Source organism: Homo sapiens, chromosome 12, assembly GCF_000001405.40.
Source record: "Homo sapiens chromosome 12, GRCh38.p14 Primary Assembly".
Taxonomy (NCBI): Eukaryota; Metazoa; Chordata; class Mammalia; order Primates; family Hominidae; genus Homo; species Homo sapiens.
In genome coordinates, this window is record NC_000012.12 from 131,119,426 (window position 1) to 131,136,533 (window position 17,108).

Sequence of the window (17,108 nt, forward strand, 5' to 3'; positions counted from 1 at the left end):
AAGAAGAATGTTCTCCTCAAACACAGCTCAATGGCATTTGTTCCCTTTTATCCCATCTGGAGCTTGGGGATGCTGGACCCACAGTCCTGAGTCCCGGGGTCTGACCGTAATACAAGCCTTTTCCCACACTCATGCCCGAAAGCCAGGCAGCACCAGCCAGGTTCAGGAAGCTCACCAGGTTTCTGAACAGGATAGAGTATCTACCAGAAGCCCCTCGTCGACTTAAAATTCTGCATGAAGTGCTGGAAAGCACAATCTCTCTCTTTGCAGAAGCATCCTACTCTCCGGAGAGCCTGGTTTGAATCGCACCTTTGCAGAGGTACCATTCAGACTTGCAGTGCATTTTCCTTTTAAACAGTGCATCCTCAGATGAGAGGTTTCTCCTCTCCGTGCTCTGGGTGTGCAGCCATGAATGAGCCTCTTGCAGGTGCTGTCTCTTGTTTTGGGGCATTTGCCATCTCCTGGTCCGGGAGGCTTTGGGGAGGAATGGGGGCAGGGAGGCAGTGTGCTGACAGTGATCTCTGAAGTCACCTGAGCTATTTAGGGCTCAGATTCCTCATCTGCAGGATTGGAGTGATCATAGCGCCCACCTCAGGGGCAGCATAGGATTAAATGAGATGATGGAGTTTGTTGTGCTGTGGGGCAGACCTGCTGCTCAGTGAGCAGTCACGGAGGGATGAAATAAGCCAGCCCCGGGGAGACACCACATTGGGTGCCAGTGAGGACTGCGCCACGCACCTGCCCAGATCCAATTAAAGGCACTCCAGGTCCTTGGGAAACAGTGTCCAGGAGTCAAGATGAGAGGTCCTAGGGACTCTTCGGCTCTTGACAGTGCCGTAGGCTCTGGAGATAAAATTGTGGAGGAGCTGGCTTTTTTTTGCCCGAGTTCTTGGGGTCACTTCTCAGAGGCCAGATCCTCAAACTGGACCCTCCTCTCAGGACATCAGAGCAATCACTAGGACCCTCTGGAACCTTTCCTCTCAGTTGGAGGGCACGGAGAGAGGGGAACTGACCTCGAGCTTTGGGCATATGGGAATGGTCAGGTGCTGCATCGCTGACGACTCATCAGGATGGGAATCCCTCACAGAAGGCCCCTATTGGGTCATACTTGAAGTGCTCTGCAGGAAAGCCAGTCCCCAGCAAAGGTCTATTTCCTAATGAAATTGAAATCTATTCTGGATTTTGGCTAAACTCTCCAGAGGTTGCTGTCCTGGTCTTCAAACCTGGAAAATCCTTTCCAAGAATGAGACGTGGGATCATCATGGATAAAAATACATTTGCAGGGATTAGGAATGTTGTATGACTGCCCCAGGTGGACCCTGTAGCTGAGAAAGACATCACCTTAGCAACTACTTTTGGATGAAGGTACGCTGGCAGGTGGAACGAGGTTGTTGAAGTAACGGCTCTGCTTCCCTCCGCAGTTGCTGGCTGTCGTTGGCGAGTGGCGCCATCTGGGCCTTTGTAGCCCCTGCCCTGTTTGTCATCGTGGTACGTTTCCTACCCTTGTGGGCGCAGAGCGGGGCTGGGGAGGGGCAGGAGGAGAGGGTGTGGGGCTCTGGAGATGGCGGGGGGCTCCCTGAGGAGCTTCCGAAGGATGCAGCGTCGTTCCTCGGTCACTCCTCGCTAGGGCTCCTCTGGGCCAGTGACTGAGGGTCTTATTTCCCGGAATGCTCAGGAAGGCGGTGCTTTCCAGGCGGGTCCACTCGAGGCCCCAGGGCTCTTCCAGTCGAGGCGGCAGGTGCAGGCACACAGCCCTGAGAACAGCACAGGCGCGGGCTCGTCCTTCCCCATCCTCCGGTGCCTTCTCACCCACCGGCTAGCTCCTTGCTCAGGAGTCACCAGGACTCCAAGGCTGCAGAGGGGAATCTCAGCAGAAGCCTCCTGGGAACCACACATAACAGTTACAGTTACAGTGGTTTGCAAGTGACAGAAAACCCAACTCAGAGTTTTTTGTTGTTGTTTTTGTTATTGTTTTTTTGAGACGGAGTCTCACTTTGTCTCCCAGGCTGGAGTGCAGTGGTGCGATCTCACTGCAACCTCTGCCTCCTGGGTTCAGGCGATTCTCCTGCCTCACTCTCCCAAGTAGCTGGGATTACAGCCATGCGCCACCACGCCCAGCTAATTTTGTATTTTTAGTAGAGACGGGGTTTCACCGTGTTGGCCAGGCTGGTCTCGAACTCCTGACCTCAGGTGATCTGCCCTCCTCTGTCTCCCAAAGTGCTGGGATTACAGGCGTGAGCCACTGTGCCTGGCCCCAACTCAGTGTTTAAACACGGATGGGGATTTACAGGTTCCTGAGTCAGGACCATCTGTGGGGAGGCTGGGCCCAGGGCTCCTGCACCTGCACTGGCATGAGGCTCGTCCCTCATCTTCTCTGCCTCCCCGGATGGAAACGGAGGCTTTTTCCCAGCACTCCCATCGCAAGTCCCAGGCTGGTTCTCATTGGCTGCGGTGAGTCATGTGTCCGTCCCAGAACCAATCAGGGAAATGGGATGGAGTCGAATGTTGGTCAGGGCTGCCTCCCATGATTTCTTTGTGCAGTTAGCACCGGTGGACACCAGGAGCTGCTGGTATGGTGGGGTCGTGATCAGAGGGTGTGACCTCAGCAGAGTCTGTGCTTTCCCTTCGGTACTTCCACGTGCCTGTCTCTGAGGGCCCTGGCTGGTTGGGCCCGGGCTGCGCGTCCTGGCCCAGGCTTCCCGTCTGCAGGCTGGGTCAGGGCCCCGCAGTGAACTGGAGCAGCTCCCTGGACTGAGGGGCGTCAGGGGCCCAGGGGTGTTGCGCGGGGCGCCACGAGCCGAGGGCAGGGATCTTTGTGCAAGCAGAGGTGGTCGCGAGGGAAAGGCTTGTGGCATCAGAGCCTCCCTCACAGCGTCTACAGAGCTCCGAGCAGGGCTGGTTTTTCTTTCAGTGAATCGCTGTCAGCTGCAGAGGGGACGCCTTTGGGGCTGCGCGCTTGAGCTCTTAGGGTCTGGGGGCCGCAGCGCCTCCCCGGGGCTGCGTGAGGATCACCTGCCATCGCTTTACCGACTCTACCCTTTAAAGAGTGTCAGAGGCTTCAGGGAGAGGTCCCCGCGCTCTCTGGGGGTCTGGGAGGACCATTCATTTTGCCAACCAACATGCAAAAACGCTTTCAGAGCGGACTCCAGTCATCAAACTCCTGGCCGGAGCATGGCCAGTTGGGAGGGGCTTTAAAGGACGTTTAGTGACAGAGGGTGGGAAGGGTAAGTTGTATTCAAGTCTCTGCTGTTCCTTGTTCTCCCTTTCTCTCTACTGACTTAAACCCTCTAGAACCGCAGGGCCTGGGCAGAACAGGCCCCTGTGTCAGACACTGTCCTGGTCATCTGGCTTTCATGTCTGACCGTGGTCAGTGACAGCTGGGGTTCCGAGGTGGCTCTGCCTGGCTCCTTCACCACCCACACGGCGTGGGGCCGAGCGCCAGGAACCCAGCACCCCTGTGTCTCCCAGCTTCACTAGAGTCCCTTTTGTCATTCCTGAGGGGACATTACCTTCAGGGCCCCACCCCCTACCCCACTCCTTGTTGTCAGTGGCCATCATTCCTGGAGGACAGAATGAGCCCTCAAACTCATTACATAATTGAATTACCTGGGGAGTTTTTTTTTTTTTTTTTTTTTTTTTTTTTTTTTTGCGACAGAGTCTTCGCTCTGTCGCCCAGGCTGGAGTGCAGTGGCACGATCTTGGCTTACTGCAACCTCTGCTTCCCAGGTTCAAGCAATTCTCTTGCCTCAGCTGGGACTACAGGCAGGTGCCACCAAGCCCAGCTAATTTTTGTATTTTTAGTAGAAACAGGGTTTCACCATGTTGGCCAGGCTGGTCTCTAACTCCTGACCTCAGGTGATCCACCCGCCTCGGCCTCCCAAAGTGCTGGGACTGCAGGCGTGAGCCACTGCGCCCGGCCCTGGGAAGCTTTAAGAGTATTCCTGTCTAAGCTCCACCTCCTGAAGTTTCGGCTTGTTGGCCTTTAGAATCTTCCAGGTGACTCTCAGCACAGCTGGCTTGAGGTCCTCATGCCCTCTTGGGACATTGGTAGCAACAGGCAGATTGGAAGGGAGGCAAGAGCTGAATGGGGCAGCCTTAAAAGATTCCAGGTTCAGGCTGGGCGCGGTGGCTCACGCCTGTAATCCCAGCACTTTGGGAGGCCAAGGCAGGCGGATCATGAGGTCAGGAGATCGAGACCATCCTGGCTAACACAGTGAAACCCCGCCTCTACTAAAAATACAAAAAAATTAGCTGGGCGTGGTGGCGGGTGCCTGTAGTCCCAGCTACTCGGGAGGCTGAGGCAGGAAAATGGCGTGAACCCGGGAGGCGGGTCTTGCAGTGAGCCGAGATTGCGCCACTGCACTCCATCCAGCCTGGGCAACAGAGTGAGACTCCGTCTCAAAAAAAAAAAAAAAAGGTTCCAGGTTCAAGTGCAGAGGCCAGCAAACTGCAGCAGTGTGGCCCACTACCTGCTTTTGTAGATCGAGTTTTCTTGGCACACAGCCACGTCCATTGATTTGCACATTGTCTGTGGCTGCTTTCAGGCTAAAACAGCTGAGCCGAATAGTTGCAACAAAGACTGCGTGGCCCGCAAAGCCAAAAATACTAACTGGCTCTTGGCAGAAGGCATATCAACCTCTGGGCCAGGGGGTGCCGTGGAGGTTCCAGCCTACCCCTGCGGGGAGTGCCGTGGAGGGGAGTTGGGGGTCTTGTCCCTCTCACGTCTTCAGAGGATCCCAGGGTTTGTGCCATCTGGGCCAATTCCTCATTTACCCACAAGTCATCAGCCTTATTTCCAGATGAAGAAAGCAGGTTTTGGGATAACAAGTATAGCATGACCCCATTTGTTTAAAAAGTTAAAAGCTCTATATGGGTACACACCCACATGTGAACATATAACTGAATAAGAAAATGCCCAGACAGATGCACACAAAATAATGGTTCCCTAAGGAGAGGTTTGGGTTTGGGGAGTATGTGCTTCAAGATTATATGCACCTAAAAACACCCATGTATTGCCTGCATAATTTGAAAATTAAAAACTTTTAGGAAGCTGTGTGTTTACATTAGAACATCAGCTTCCCTGTGTCCTGGCAAGGTTCATCCTGAAAAGGCAAGAATTTGGGAGACAGTAAAGGGTCACTGTGGGGCCTGCTGGGCCTAGGGTTGAGGAGAAAAGGGCAGAGCCTAGCCACTTCCAGTAACACCCCCCACCAGGCGTCTACAGCCAAACACACACACTGCCCACCGCCCCTTCTCGAATTGTTCTCGGCTGTAACACACACACTGCCCACCGCCCCTTCTCGAATTGTTCTCGGCTCTAACACACACTGCCCACTGCCCCTTCTCGAATTGTTCTTGGCTATAAGGCAGGGAAATGGCTTTTCATTCACTCGGTGATTCTAGTTACACAAAATGCGAACATGGCCATAGGCCCGTTATTCCCTGGTGTCTTAGTCTATAGGGCTGCTGTAACACGGGACCACAGGCTGCACAGCTTAAACAAATTTATTTTCTCACAGTTTTGGAAGCCAGAAGTCCAAGATCGAGGTGTCGTCAGGGTTGGTTCTCCCGAGGCCTCTCTCCTTAGCTTGTAGATAACTGTCTTTTCCCTGTGTCCTCACATGCTTTTCCCTCTGTGCATGTCTGCGTCTTAATCTCCTCTTAAAATAAGTGACTGCCTAAGCCAGTCATTGGATTAAAGCTCACCCTAGTGACCTCGTTTTAACATAATTATGTCTTTAAAGAACCTGTCTCTAAGTGGTCTTGTTCTTAGGTACGGAGGCTTAGGGCTTCAGCATATGAATTTGAGGGGACATAGTTCAGCCCATAACGCCTGATTTTCCAGAAGCCACAGAGCCTAGACACCCCGTTCCCCCAAAGAACAGGGACTCTGGATGTCAGGGGCACTTTAGCCTGAGCCTTCAAAATGGCTTGTTCTGTGCTGGCCCCACCGAGGAAAGAAGGAGAGTGCCTCCAGGTCTGGGGAAGAGAAGGAGTCTCTGATTTAAAATCTTTGTCTCCCTTGGGGAGAAGCCAGGGTAGCTATGTGTCTACATAGAGACAGAGATATGGTTACAGATATATATACAGAGGTATAGATGCAAACAGATACATAGAGACAGATACACAGATGGAAATGTAGATACAGATATAGGCAGATACATGGATACAGATACAAATACAGAGATAGATACAGATGCATTGCTATAGATGCATAGGTACAGATAAGCATAAATATAGATACAGATATATACAGATGCTCCTGAACTTACAATGGGATTAAGTCCTGATAAACTCATCATAAGCAGAAAATACCATAAATTGAAAATGCATTTAATACATATAACCTACAGAACATCATAGCCTAGCCTACCTCAAACATTCTCAGAACTCTTACATTAGCCTAGAGTTGGGCAAAATCATCTAACACAAAGCCTCTTTATAATGCAATGTTGAATATCAAATGAGTTGAATACTGGAAGTGAAAAACTAGTTGTATAGGTTTGCAGAGTACAGTTTGTACTGACATGTCTTGCTTTCACACCACTGAAAAGGTGAAAAATTATTACTCGAACCTTCCTAAGTTAGGAACTGCCTGTAGATACATGTAGATACTGATACATAGATACGGATACCTAAATACAGGCAGACAGAGACATACTGCTGTGGTTTGAATGTTTCCCTCAAAGTTCATGTAACTTAATTTCCAGTGCGACAGGTTCGGAGAGGTGGAACTTTAGGAGCTGATTAGGTTGTGAGGGCTTTGCTCTCGTGAATAAGTTAATGCTGCTGTTGTGGGAGTGGTTTCATTATTGAACGAGTGGGTTTCTGATGAAAAGATGAGTTTTGCCCCCTTCTCTCTCTCTGTGCTCTCTTGCTTTTCCGACTTCTGCTATGGGACAGTGTAGCAAGAAGTCCCTTACCAGATGCAGGCCCCTCAACTTTGGATTTCCCAGTCTCCCAAACTGTAATAAATCTCTGTTCTTTATAAATTACCCAGTCTGTGGTATTCTGTTATAGTAGCAGAAAACAGACTGAGGCACCCACTGTTGTGTAAACTAGCTATTTGTATGTGTGTATGTACCTGTATAGCCCTTTCATTGTGAAATAGTGGTGTCCAGCTCAGTGTTTATTCACAAATCAACATTCTGGTGACCCTGAGCTAGGTCAAGAAACAGAACACCAGGATTCCTATGCAGTCCTGCCTCCCTCCTCCCACCAGAGATCACCGTGATCTTGGCCTTCATAGTAGCCACGAGACCTTTGCTTTACAGTTCTACTGCCTCCATGTGCATTCCAGTTTTTCTTCTGCAGTGAGGCCTGTGAGTTGTTTCTTTGACATCTGCCTTTAGTGGGGAGATGCTTAGCTGCTGGAATATCCATGGTACTCACACTGTACATGCCTCAGTCCCAGGGCATTTTCCGATTTGTAGTCGAGTGTGGGTGTACCATACAGCAAGGCATGGATGAGGATGAGTGAAATGGAGTGAGGGGGGCCAGGCCTGATTCTGTATTATATTTTCATGAAATGTCAGATTTGTGCCACTCGCAGCCAAAGTCCCCCACCGCACCGATGCAGGATTGGAGGCCATGGTGAGCCGCTCCTCCTCTTAGGAAGCCACAGCAAATGTATCATCCTGATAAGATGGAAAAAATGTGCCTGGAAAATGAAACCAGACTGACCCAGGCTAAAAGAAAAAAAAAGACCCAGCAAAATCTTTGGAGAAAAAGGAAAGATGATGAATTCTGACAAGTAATAATGTGATCAGCTTAACTGTTATGAAACACTTAGAGTGCATCTTAACGCAAAGCGGTCAAGATAAAGTAAAGGACTTGAAATCTCAAATTAATCACTCGTAGTGTTTCATGTTGGCAAAACATTTTGCTGCAAGTTGATCATCCTTTCGGTGGCCTTGTCAGAAAAGTCTGGGAACAGTCATGTGTGCATCTTTCAGCTTTACAGCTGAGAGGTCCGGGGCAGAACCACGCTTTATAGCCTCCAGAGGCAAAGCAGGAGTGATGATGAGACCTCTGAGCTCATGTGGGTGTTGGTTGTGATGGGACCCTGAGCTCAGATGGGGTGTTGGTTGGGTTGGTTGTGATGGGACCCTGAGCTCAGGTGAGGTGTTGGTTGGGTTGGTTGTGATGGGACCCTGAGCTCAGGTGGGGTGTTGGTTGGGTTGGTTGTGATGGGACCCTGAGCTCAGGTGGGGTGTTGGTTGGGTTGGTTGTTATGGGACTCTGAGCTCAGGTGAGGTGTTGATTGTGTTGGTTGTGATGGGACTCTGAGCTCAGGTGGGGTGTTGGTTGTGTTGGTTGTGGTGGGATTCTGAGCTCAGGTGGGGTGTTGGTTGTGTTGGTTGTGATGGGACCCTGAGCTCAGGTGAGGTGTTGGTTGTGTTGGTTGTGATGGGATTCTGAGCTCAGGTGGGGTGTTGGTTGGGTTGGTTGTGATGGGACCCTGAGCTCAGGTGGGGTGTTGGTTGGGTTGGTTGTGATGGGACCCTGAGCTCAGGTGGGGTGTTGGTTGGGTTGGTTGTGATGGGACCCTGAGCTCAGGTGGGGTGTTGGTTGGGTTGGTTGTGATGGGACTCTGAGCTCAGGTGGGGTGTTGGTTGGGTTGGTTGTGATGGGACTCTGAGCTCAGGTGGGGTGTTGGTTGTGTTGGTTGTGATGGGATTCTGAGCTCAGGTGGGGTGTTTGACTGTGTTGGTTGTGATGGGATTCTGAGCTCAGGTGGGGTGTTGATTGTGTTGGTTGTGATGGGATTCTGAGCTCAGGTGGGGTGTTGGTTGGGTTGGTTGTGATGGGACCCTGAGCTCAGGTGGGGTGTTGGTTGGGTTGGTTGTGATGGGACCCTGAGCTCAGGTGGGGTGTTGGTTGATGGGAACTCTGCACTCACTCAAGTTGCTCGAGATCCTCTCCAGCATCTCCAGGCATCCCTCTCATGGGTCCCAGGCTTCACGGTTTCTCCATCCCCTGAATCACTGGAACACTGCATGGCTGAGTTTCTATTCCACCTGACCCCAAGGACACTGCTCCGTCATTCACAGGAAATGGGTTTCATATTATTTCCTTTTAATTTATAATTGTTTAAAACTAAAATTTAAAGAATCTGATTTATGAAATGGCAACACAAAATTTACAGGAAAAGCTTAAGAATCTATGCATAAATGTGTCTGCCTATGTATGTTTTTGCATTCCCTGGTTTCCACCCTCCCTCCAAACAGGCAACCCGTGATGCTGGTTTCATGGGTATCCTGGGGTTTTGTGCAGATAGGGGGACTGTAACTACATACCCACCCCATGGCGGCCTTCAGTGTATGTGGGGTGTGGCTTCTTCGCCAAGGAAGAGCTGCCTGAGTCTGTCTCAGACCCACAAAGTGTTCCATAGAGTGGGTGTGGGCAGCAGCCCTGCCCTGCTGTCTGGGTGTGGACGGCAGCCCCACCCTGCTGTCTGGGTGTGAGTGACAGGCCGGCCCTGCTGTCTGGGTGTGAGTGACAGCCCCGCCCTGCTGTCTGGGTGTGAGTGACAGGCCGGCCCTCCTGTCTGGGTGTGAGTGGCAGCCCCGCCCTGCTGTCTGGTGTGAGTGACAGGCCCGCCCTGCTGTCTGGTGTGAGTGACAGGCCGGCCCTGCTGTCTGGGTGTGAGTGACAGCCCCGCCCTGCTGTCTGGGTGTGAGTGACAGGCCGGCCCTGCTGTCTGGGTGTGAGTGACAGGCCCGCCCTGCTGTCTGAGTGTGAGTGACAGGCCCGCCCTGCTGTCTGGTGTGAGTGACAGCCCCGCCCTGCTGTCTGGGTGTGAGTGACAGGCCCGCCCTGCTGTCTGGGTGTGAGTGACAGGCCGGCCCTCCTGTCTGGGTGTGAGTGGCAGCCCCGCCCTGCTGTCTGGGTGTGAGTGACAGGCCTGCCCTCCTGTCTGGGTGTGAGTGACAGGCTGGCCCTCCTGTCTGGGTGTGAGTGACAGGCCCGCCCTGCTGTCTGGGTGTGAGTGACAGGCCCGCCCTGCTGTCTGGGTGTGACAGGCCCGCCCTGCTGTCTGGGTGTGAGTGACAGCCCCGCCCTGCTGTCTGGGTGTGAGTGACAGCCCCGCCCTGCTGTCTCGGTGTGGACGTTCAGGTTGTTTCCAATCTTGTTACAGATGAGGCCCCCGCCTGTGTCAGTGGGTGAGGTACCCGGAATAGAAATCCCTCAAGGGAAAGGGGCAGGAGTTGCAGAATGGCAGAGTCAGGACCTGGGGAAATCTCCACTCCCAAAACAAGGAAAGAACTGGAAGAATTGTTTTGAAAAAATAGTCGGAATTCTAGAAACAAAGGCATGCACACTAAAAGCATTTATTCAAGAAAAACTTCTGAATCTCAGTAAGAGCAGGCAGGGTCTGTGGCAGTTTGACTTGGGGCACCTTCCATCTCCACCTCCCTCTCTGTGTGATGCTGTAGCCACCACTGGAGGCACGAAAGTGCTTCCCAGGCAGATGGCCAAGGCCAGCCTGCCCCGAGGGCATGGGCCGCACTCACACATCAGTGACCATCAGCCATCTGCAATTGAAATCCCCACTCGAAGTAATAACTGCACATTAGTCACGCGTTTGTCACTGTCCTAGTTGAATCATCACTGCATTTGAAAACCACTGACCTGTCATCCACGCTGCTCCCGCTTGCTGCTCCTAGTTGAGTGTGGCTTTCTTCTCGTCGTTACACAGTGAGGTTGGCTGGGGGGCATCAGCGTTTCTGGACATGCTCTTTGTGCAGACACCATGCTGGGTGGCTAATGTGTTGACTTCTTTTCCCTTCCCTGGCCTTTGGACACTTCTGTTATTAGCCTCACTTTACAGATGGGAAAATAAGGGCAACTAAGGTGCATCCGACTGTCAGCTGAGCTGGGCGTGAGCTGAGCTTCCAGGTGTTGAGGTGGTCAGTGAAGACAGGAGCCGAGGAGGGAACAGTTGGGGTGCTCACTGCCACAATAGTGTCCTAAGGGGCTAGGCAGGAGGGGGCGGCCCCACCACGCACCACTCTCTCCCAAAGAACAGCACCAGGAGGGTCTGAAGCCTCCGTGCAGACAGGGCCGGTCTCCTGCTGAGAGAGCCCTGGGCGGAGGGCTCCTGCTGATTCATGGGCTCGGGAGCTGCGCGAGGAGGAAGGGGAAGGGCTCACAGTGGAAAAGTCCTGGGCACAGAAGGTGGCTTCAAGGCCCCTAGGGTGAGGCGGGCTCAGCAGTTGCTTCAGAAAGGCCTGGCGCGGGCACCTAGGCGAGGGGTGCAGGTGTGCGGAACAGCGATGCTGGCCCATCCCGTGCGGGGGAAGAGCGAGGCCGGCCCATCCCGTGCGGGGGGAGAGCGAAGCTGGCCATCCCGTGCGGGGCCCCAGTGGCTGCCCTCCGACTGCAGCTCCCTTCAGAGACTGCCAGGCTCTGGCCGCGCCCAGGCTGGCGTGGGGACAGCAGCTGCCCTGTGAGGCCGGCGAGGTAGAGCCCTGTTCATTGCCTGAAAGTTCGAGCCTGAGAGTTCACACAGAGGACTTTATCCTGGAACTGGACTCCTTGCTGACTCTGTACACGGCCTCAGAATTTTTCAGACACAAGGGAGAAGGCTAACCCTCACCCTAACCCCGCAGCCAGAGGACACTAGGGGGTTCTTCCCCATGCTGTGCCTGCCTCGCCAGCCTCCTACTGAGGGAGCTGCCCAGGTGAGGGGCAGGTTGTGCTGAAGCCTCTGCCGGGGCCCCTCAGTGCCCCGCCCAGCCCCATAGGTCCCAACAGGAGCCTTCCAGCAGTTTCCCAGCAAGGAGGGGTGCTGGCAGGAGATGATGCCCCTCTGCCGCAGCTTCTGTGGCTCGCACAGCCGCAGGCCTGGGCCGGGGCGGGAGATGAGAGCCAGCTCCTGTGCCGGGGCCTGGCACATTGAGCAGTCGTTTGCACAGTGGGCACTATCCTTCTCATCACCTGGGGCACTGAGGCTCCGAGGACCTGGGTGAGTTGCCCAGGGTCACACTAACGAAGCAAATGCTAAGATGAGGTCTGGCCCAGGCTCATGCCCTCATGCCCGGATGTGTTCCTGGGACTAGAACTCGTCTCTGCTGTCTTCTCAGTGCAGGTGCTCTCAGAGGCAAGCTTGCATGTTGTGTGTGTTGGTAAAAGCCCACGGAACAGGGTGAGATTTGTCCCAGTGATGCCCCTGTGTCCCAGGAGCCCTGGCTGGGCAGGGGTAGCCTGTGGTGAGGGCAGTGGCCAGGCGGACGCAGCTCTCCTGCAGGTGCAGCCCAGGCCCCCCTCACCTTCCTCCATGGTTTCTTGTGCAGGTCAACATTGGCATCCTCATCGCTGTGACCAGAGTCATCTCACAGATCAGCGCCGACAACTACAAGATCCATGGAGACCCCAGTGCCTTCAAGTAAGTTGACCTCAGGCTGCCAGCAGTGCCACGGCCCTTCTGCCCCCAGAGGATGCTTTGAGGTCACAGGAGAGATAGCCACTCCTGCCTCCTGTGGCCGGCACCAAAGTCCTCCACTTGCTCCGTGTCCCTGCCATCTCAGGGCAGCTCTGGTTTCACGCCCTCGCTTGGCTCTCGTGACCCAGGACAGGGCCTTTACCCAGCCCCAGAGCTCCCATGTGTAGAAGAACGGAGTCTACGGAGTTCTCCTAGGGATTTCTTCACCCCAGGGTGATGAGCAGCTGGGGGGCGGCAACGGGGAAGATTCTAGAGCCAGAAAGCCCCTGCCAGTCCCGCATCTGCCCTGGCCATCTGCTGGGCTCAGCGAGTTTAGCCCCTCAGCACCTCGCCTTCCTCACGTGCAGAACGGGATGATAACAGGTTCCCCCTCAGCTGGCACATCAGGGAAGGTGCAAGGGAGAGCAGTGTCCTGGTGTGCTCTGGGCTGCCCCGCCTGGAGAAGGGGCGGGGTCTCTGGGAGGGATTCCAGCCACACAACTCACTGCCATCGGGGGTGTCCTGACCTGCATCTCTTACGGCCCAGCCGATTGCAGGTGACAGAAATCCCAGCATGCACTGGCCTAAGCAGAAGGGGGACTCACTGACGCAGCTGACTGTGAAGTCCGGAGCTCAGAAGCCCTGGCGTTGCAGGAATTCTTTGGCAGTTGCAGCACCGGGCCCAGCTCGCCTTCGCATCCTTAGTGTTGGCTTCAGGCCGAGGTCGACTCTGCCCCCTGGTGGCCGAATGGCTGCGGCAGGGGTTCAGGCCCACGGGGGAGTCCCTGTCCCACCTGCTGAGACGGAGGCCTGCGCCTGGAGGACGATGGGGACTCAGGCTGGACCTGTGCCCTCCCTGAGCCAGACCCTGTAGAGGGGGATTCACTCATATGACCGTGTGACTGTTCAGTTAGCACCCCCAAACCACAGGGCTGAAAGCTGGGGAGGCTGTCCCTCGCAGGGAATTCAGGGGCTTTGTGAAAAGCAGGGCGTGGGTACCAGGCAGCTGACATTCTGTACTGTTACTTCAGCCACCGCGTATCTGTTCTGATGTGAAAGCAAAAGTGGCAAATATGTCAGCAGCGAATCTATGAGAGAATTAGTCTGTAATGAATTCCAAACACCATAAATTAACCTGACAAGAGGCTGCAGCCTCCTTGGGCTGTTCAGCTCCTGGAAACCTTCAAGGGTTGTGCCCCGTGCGAGAAGAGATGCTCGTGGGGTCAGAGATCACGTCCTTTCCTCTTCCATTGCTGAGACCAGGATGGTCTCCTGGACCTCTCATGGCCTGGCTGGGGAGGGACCTGTCCCTTCCTCACCCCAGCCCTCAGCTCCCCAGGCCCTCACCTCAGCGTTCAGGGTCAGCCAGTCTGTTGCCAGCTTGTCTCCAGCAAAAGCTCACAATCCCCTGTCTGAGCCCCATGAGGCCACTACTTCCACTGTCACCAGAACACCCCTGTGCACCTGCCCCGCACCTGTGCACCGCCTTCCATCTCTACCCCACTGCGCCCCATCCTCCCATCAGTGCCCACCCAGGAAGCAGCTTCTGTCCACTGCCTTTGCTTCTCCATGGAAATGTCCTCCAAGCGACAGGCTGGCACTGTGTCTGCAGCTCTTGTGAAGGCTCGAGGTAGCGTGCCCCGGGAGAGCATGCCCAGGTCTTTGCAGGGCACAGCTGAAGGCATTGCCCATCCTTCCCACCTGCGTCTGCACCTGGCAGCCCAGGGATGCGTCCCTTCCGGGGAGGTGCAGGCAGGCATCTCTGGGGACAGACCGCTCTGGGTCCCTCTCCATTGTGCAACCCAGCACATTTCCCAATGCCTTCAGCTCCTCTCCTTTGGGCGGCCAGGTCTGCCCCTCAGGGATGCTTCCTCACAATCTTCTTAGTGTGGATTGTGTAACACTTGACTCCCAGGGCTGAGGAAGCACAGCCAGGGAGCAGGCGCCAGGCAGGAAGAGGCAGTCACTGCATCGTGAGGAAGCTTCCCCAGCACCTTGCTATTCTTCATCCTCTGGTTTTATTCTAGTGATTTTCTTAGTGCCAAGCAGCCCAGTACTCAGTGAATAACAAGATAAGATTCTTCCTCAGGGGCCCTCCACAGGGTTGGCTTTCACTTCCCTGCCACCCCCCTACCCCAAGAAAAGTGGAGAATAGAATAAGTGAGGTCTGAGCAGGGGGAGAAGCCTGGCTTTCACTTTTTAAAAAAGTCTCTGTTTATTGATTGTGATTCCAGACTCCTGAAAAAGAAGCAGAGAATGGTCAGGTTTTACAAGTGGGACCCTGGGGGCGGGGGCGTGAGGGTGAGACCCCCACAGAAGTGCACCCACGAGCAGGTGGGCTGTGGGGCCTGGAGACTCAGGGCCTGAGCCCCCTAGGCCAGGGCCAACCTTGGGGGAGCAGAAGGGGGTCATAGATCAGAGAGGAAAGCACACCCCCTGCCTAGAGCCTCCTTCAGATCCAGGGACCCCTCTTCTTCTGCTTTTGACCAGGGACACTGACAGCTCTGGCCGTGTTGAGAGTCCGCAGAGCTTCAGCTCAGCGTCTTCCCCCAAGATCTTCTTCTATTGTTCATTTTAAGAAAAGTCAAACCATCACTTTAAAAGTAGCACATTTTGGTACTTATTTCTCAGTGATTGATCCTTTCAGATACGGTTTCCCGGGACCTAAAGATTGTAGCTGAATAATGCATGATATTGTTGTTTCCCAGAAACAGGTGTTTTATTTTTATTGCATTAGCATTATGAGAACAAGCTGGCTGCGGCTTCTCTGAGAGCTGAAGTGCTGGAACACTTCTGGGTTTTACAGGCACCGGTTGCCCGGAGCTGTCAGTGCCAGGCTCTTGGTCTCTTGACAAGGAAGCTCATTATGGCCGCATCTCACCTCCTCCGGGGAGGTGCCAGATCTGTGTGCAGCACTGCTGCATGGCCGTCCACTTGTTCATCATTCATTCATTCATTCATTCATTCAATGTTTATTTCCTGAGAGCCTCTGAGTCCTGGTGCTGGGATGCACTTTGGGGTTACAGAGACAAAAAGACCAAGCTCCAGCCTTTAAGGAACCCACAGTCTATGAGGGAGACAATCTCAGTCACTGGCCTGAGTGATGAGGGGTAAACCGAGGCATGTGACAGTGGCTGACCTGGGCAGCAGGAACTCCGCTAGTCTCTAGACTTTTCTCTAAAGCTCAAAGGCAGAAGGTCCCTGCTGTGGAAAGCCCAGCTGTTTCAGAAGTCAGGATGGACTGGGCTTGAGGTAGTTGGCCATGATTGACACAGCACATCAGGAATGGCTTTGAGGCAGGCAGCTGGTGTGCCCAGTCAGAGCAGGTGCTAACTGGCCCAGGTGGGGACGTCTGCATACCCTCTGGTTCTGCCCCTGATGAAACCCTGTATCACCTTAGCCATTACCAGGGGCTGTGGGGCCTCAGTTTCCTTATTATACAATGGGGTCAATATATAACCTGCCTCTCCTGTGTCAAGAGGGCCCATGGGCTCTAGGGAGATAAAAACGCATGCTGATGGGGCTGGTGTGTTCAGCGATGGGGCTCTGTCAGTTCACAGTGCAGTTCAGCAAGCCCTTGTTTAGCACGTCCTTTGAGCATGAGCAGGGCCATGAAGATGACCACTTGGCCCTGCCCTCTGAGAACTCACCGTCAGTGTCACAGGAGGGCTCGGGTGATCAGCGGGGGACACGCGGGCTGCAGCCCAGTGAGGCCTGGAGAAATCTTCCTGGCCATGGCCTCATTTCAGGCCCAGGCCTCATTGCACCCTTCCAAGCGTCTCACAGGAGGCCTGGGTTCTGGACGCTGCGGGGGATGCTCTGCTGCTTCAGTCCCCCGAATCTCTCCCCTCCGTCCTGGTTCCTCCTCATCTTTGCAAACAGCTCAAATGCAAGCCCTGGGCCTGGACAGATTCTCCCTATGGCCTAGGTGAGCCCTGGGTGCTACCTGAACTTTTCCAGAGCTCTCTCCCACCCACCAGCTGTAAGGGGATGGAGGTGTGGAAACACCGAGGCTCCTCCCAGGTAAATGCCTCAACCAGGGCTACCTGCAGGGAGGACCCCAGGTCTTGCTCCCGGCAGGGCGGTGCCTGCACCCATCTGGAAGCCTGGCGTCTCGAGGGCAGTCCTCACAGCCTGCACCTGCCCTCCTGCCACTCAGGGTGACTGTCACTGTTTCTCTCCAGGTTGACAGCCAAGGCAGTGGCCGTGCTGCTGCCCATCCTGGGTACCTCGTGGGTCTTTGGCGTGCTTGCTGTCAACGGTTGTGCTGTGGTTTTCCAGTACATGTTTGCCACGCTCAACTCCCTGCAGGTGAGAGCCGCGGGGACTGGCGGGGAGGCAGGGCCGCCAGCCATCAGGAGCAGGCTTGCAGGGAGCTAGGGCTGCAGGGGCAGGAGGGAGGCCTGCCCTCCCGGCCACACCTTAGGAGCCTGTAATGCGGGGCATCCCCGAAGCCTGAGGACTCTCAGAAAGTGGGGCCTGCAGGATCCTGACCCCTTCAGGGCGGGGCTGCCTATGCTTCTGGCCAGCATCTGTAGTTGGCATGTCCTGGCTGGGAATGGAGGACAGTAAGACAGTCTGCCTGTGGCAGCTCTGGAAAGAAAGGCAGAGAGGTGGCCAGGGCGGTCCCCCAGGTGCTGCCCTCTGTGTGAAGGGCCAGGGAGGGTCATCTGGGAACCAA

The 17,108-nt window shown here is 54.5% G+C and overlaps 1 protein-coding gene across 14 annotated transcripts in view, besides 1 other annotated feature; it reads left to right on the forward strand.

Annotated features, from left to right (window-relative positions):
• Positions 1 to 17,108, forward strand: part of ADGRD1 (adhesion G protein-coupled receptor D1) — a 187,563-nt gene that overhangs the window by 165,519 nt on the left and 4,936 nt on the right. For 10 of the 14 annotated variants that reach the window (NM_001330497.2, XM_011538204.2, XM_011538206.2 and 7 more), the window contains 3 exons: positions 1,422 to 1,488; positions 12,300 to 12,391; positions 16,612 to 16,738. In NM_001330497.2, the coding sequence (NP_001317426.1) occupies positions 1,422 to 1,488; positions 12,300 to 12,391; positions 16,612 to 16,738 (286 nt within the window). Of the gene's footprint in view, positions 1 to 1,421; positions 1,489 to 12,299; positions 12,392 to 12,974; positions 16,589 to 16,611; positions 16,739 to 17,108 lie in introns of those variants that run through there. The other 4 variants (XM_047428718.1, XM_011538207.2, XM_047428717.1 and 1 more) reach the window with 4 other exon arrangements.
• Positions 12,729 to 13,361: an enhancer, noted in NCBI's record as "H3K4me1 hESC enhancer chr12:131616699-131617331 (GRCh37/hg19 assembly coordinates)". NCBI's record gives its function as "activates a minimal SCP1, AML or CMV promoter by ChIP-STARR-seq in naive H9 embryonic stem cells {active_cell/tissue: H9 hESC(naive)}" and the evidence as "EXISTENCE:reporter gene assay evidence [ECO:0000049][PMID:30033119]".